The sequence below is a fragment of the Homo sapiens genome, chromosome 8 (assembly GCF_000001405.40).
Source record: "Homo sapiens chromosome 8, GRCh38.p14 Primary Assembly".
Classification (NCBI taxonomy): Eukaryota; Metazoa; Chordata; class Mammalia; order Primates; family Hominidae; genus Homo; species Homo sapiens.
This window is the reverse complement of record NC_000008.11, coordinates 35,853,518-35,856,261: the sequence shown is the minus strand read 5'-3', so window position 1 is coordinate 35,856,261 and position 2,744 is coordinate 35,853,518. Positions and strand designations below refer to the sequence as shown.

Sequence of the window (2,744 nt, the reverse complement as noted above, 5' to 3'; positions counted from 1 at the left end):
TTCATGGAATGAATTAGGGAGGGTTTCTTCTTTCTCTATCTTGTGGGATAGCGTCAAAAGAATTGGTACCAATTCTTCTTTGAATGTCTGGTAGAATTCTGCTGTGAATCCGTGTGGCCCTGGACTTTTTTTGTAGGTAATTTTCTAATTACCATTTCAATCTCATTGCTTGTTATTGGTCTGTTCAGGGTATCTAATTCTCCCTGATTTAAGCTAGGAGGGTTGTATTTTTCCAGGAATTTATCCATCTCTTTTAGGTTTTCTAGTTTATGTGCATAAAGGTGTTCATAGTAGCCTTGAATGATTTTTTTGTATTTCAGTGGTGTCAGTTGTAATGTCTCCTGTTTCATTTCTTACTGAGGTTATTTGGATTTTCTCTCTTCTTTTCTTGTACAGTCTTGCTAATGGTATATTATTTTTCTTTTCAAAGAACCAGCTTTTTGTTTATCGTTTATATTTTTTTGGTTTCAATTTCATTTAGTTCTGCTCTGATCTTGGTTATTTCCTTTATTCTGCTGGATATGGGTATGGTTTGTTTTTGTTTCTCTAGTTCCTCGAGATGTGACCTTAGTTTTATTTGTCTTTGCTGGATTGTGTTAATTCAAAGACCTTGTCTTCGAGCTCTGAATTTCTTTCTTCTACTTGCTTAATTCCATTGCTGAGACTTTCCAGAGCATTTTGCAATTCTAAAAGTGTGTCCAAAGTTTCCTGAAATTTTTATTGTTTTTTATTTAAGCTATCTATTTCCATGAATATTTCTCCCTTCACTTCTTGTATCATTTTTTTGGATTTCCTTGCATTCGGCTTTGCCTTTCTCTGGTGCCTTTTTGATTAGCTTAATAACTAACCTTCTGAATTCTTTTTCAGGTAAATCAGGGATTTCTTCTTGGTTTTGATCCATTGCTGGTGAATTTGGGGGTGTCAAAGAGACTTGTTTTGTGATATTACCAGGGTTGGTTTTCTGGTTCCTTCTCATTTGTGTAGATTCTGTCAGAGGGAAAGTCTAGGGCTGAAGGCTGTTGTTCAGATTCTTTTGTCTGATGAGGCATTTCCTTAATGTAGTACACACCCCCTTTTCCTATGGATGTGGCTTCCTGTGAGCTGAACTGCCATGATTGTTGTCTCTCTTCTGGGTCTAGCCCCCCAACAAGTCTACCCAGCTCTGGGCTGGTACTGGTGTTATCTCCACAGAATCCTATGATGTAAACTGTCTATGGGTCTCTCAGCTGTGGATACCAGCACCTGTTCTAGTGGAGGTGGCAGAGTGCAATGGACTCCATGAGGGTCTTTAGCTTTGGTGGTTTAATGCTCTATTGTTGTGCTAGTTGGCCTCCTGCCAGGAGGTGGCATTTTCCAGAAAGCATCAGTGTGGAGGAGGGACCAGTGGTGGGTGGGGCCATAGAACTCCCAAGATTATATGCCCTTTGTCTTCTGCTACCAGGGTGGATAGGGAAGGACTATCACGTGGGGGCAGGGTTAGGCATGTCTGAGGTCAGACTCTCCTTGGGCAAGTCTTGCTGTGGCTGCTGTGGGGGTGGGGGTGGGACTCCCAGTTCACTGGAATTGAGGACCTAGGTACCTAGGAGTATTATGGCTGCCTCTGTGGAGTCATGGCAGGTTGTCAGGAAAGACAGAAAGCCAGCAGTCACAGGCCTCACCCAGCTCCCATGCAAACTGAAGGGCCAGACTCACTCCCACCATGCCCACTCCCAGCCTCGCTAACAGCCCCGAGCCTGCCAGGTGGAGGGTGAGCTGGGCTTGAAAATTTGCCTGAGGCTATCTGCCTCCCAGCTGCAAAAGAAAAGGGCTTTAGTTCTTCCCCTGCCTGTGAATTCTGCATGCCCAGTTCACACACTTTCCAGAGTTCTGTCTAGGAGACTTCTCACCCCATTCAAATTGTTACAAAGTTCAGCTAGAGAATGCTTTCTTCCTGTAGAGTTTTACCCGCTGCTCCTCTGGCCACTCTCCCGATGGATCCCTGTGGTGCCAGGCAGGAATGGGCTGCTGGGGACCCAGCGAGGTCCTGGGGCCTTTTTGCTACTTCTCCACCCCTGTATTTCACTTGGCTCTCTAATTTGACTCAGCCTCATGTAAAGTTGGAAACTTCTCCCACACACAGACTTCGTCTTGTCCAGTGGGGGTGCATATTTGGGAGAGGAGGGTCTCCCTTTCCCAATTCCCCAGTTTGGGCATTCACAGTATTTGAGATATCTCCTGGGTGCTGTAGGAGCAGCCCGCTTCCTTCTTTCCTTCTCGGGATTGCTGGTTTGTTCTTGCAGTTGATCTGGAGATAAAATTCACAGTGCAAACGTCCACATGCTGCTCTGTCTGGAGCTGCAATCTAGTCCTGCCTCCCATCCGCCATGATCCCCCTATTCCACATTCTGGATCAGTTACATTTCTAGTGCTAAACTGCCATATGAAGGTAGTGGCTACTGAATTAAACAGTGCAGATCTAGAGGCCGTAAAATATACTTTAAATCAATAAAATTAAGAAGGACAATGAAGGGTAATAATAAAGGGTACAATCCAACAAGAAGCCTTAACTATTCTAAATATATGTGCACCCAAAGTTGGAGCACCCAGATTCATAAAACAAGTTTTTCTTAGCCTATGAAAAGACTTAACCACACAATAATGGTGGGAGACTTCAACACTCCACTGATAGTGTTAAATCATCAAGGCGGAAAACTAGCAAAGAAACTCTGGACTTAAACTCGATACTCAACAAATTGGACTTAATA

The 2,744-nt window shown here is 43.7% G+C and overlaps 1 annotated feature.

Annotated features, from left to right (window-relative positions):
* Positions 1,181-1,681: an enhancer, noted in NCBI's record as "H3K4me1 hESC enhancer chr8:35712099-35712599 (GRCh37/hg19 assembly coordinates)". NCBI's record gives its function as "activates a minimal SCP1, AML or CMV promoter by ChIP-STARR-seq in primed H9 embryonic stem cells {active_cell/tissue: H9 hESC(primed)}" and the evidence as "EXISTENCE:reporter gene assay evidence [ECO:0000049][PMID:30033119]".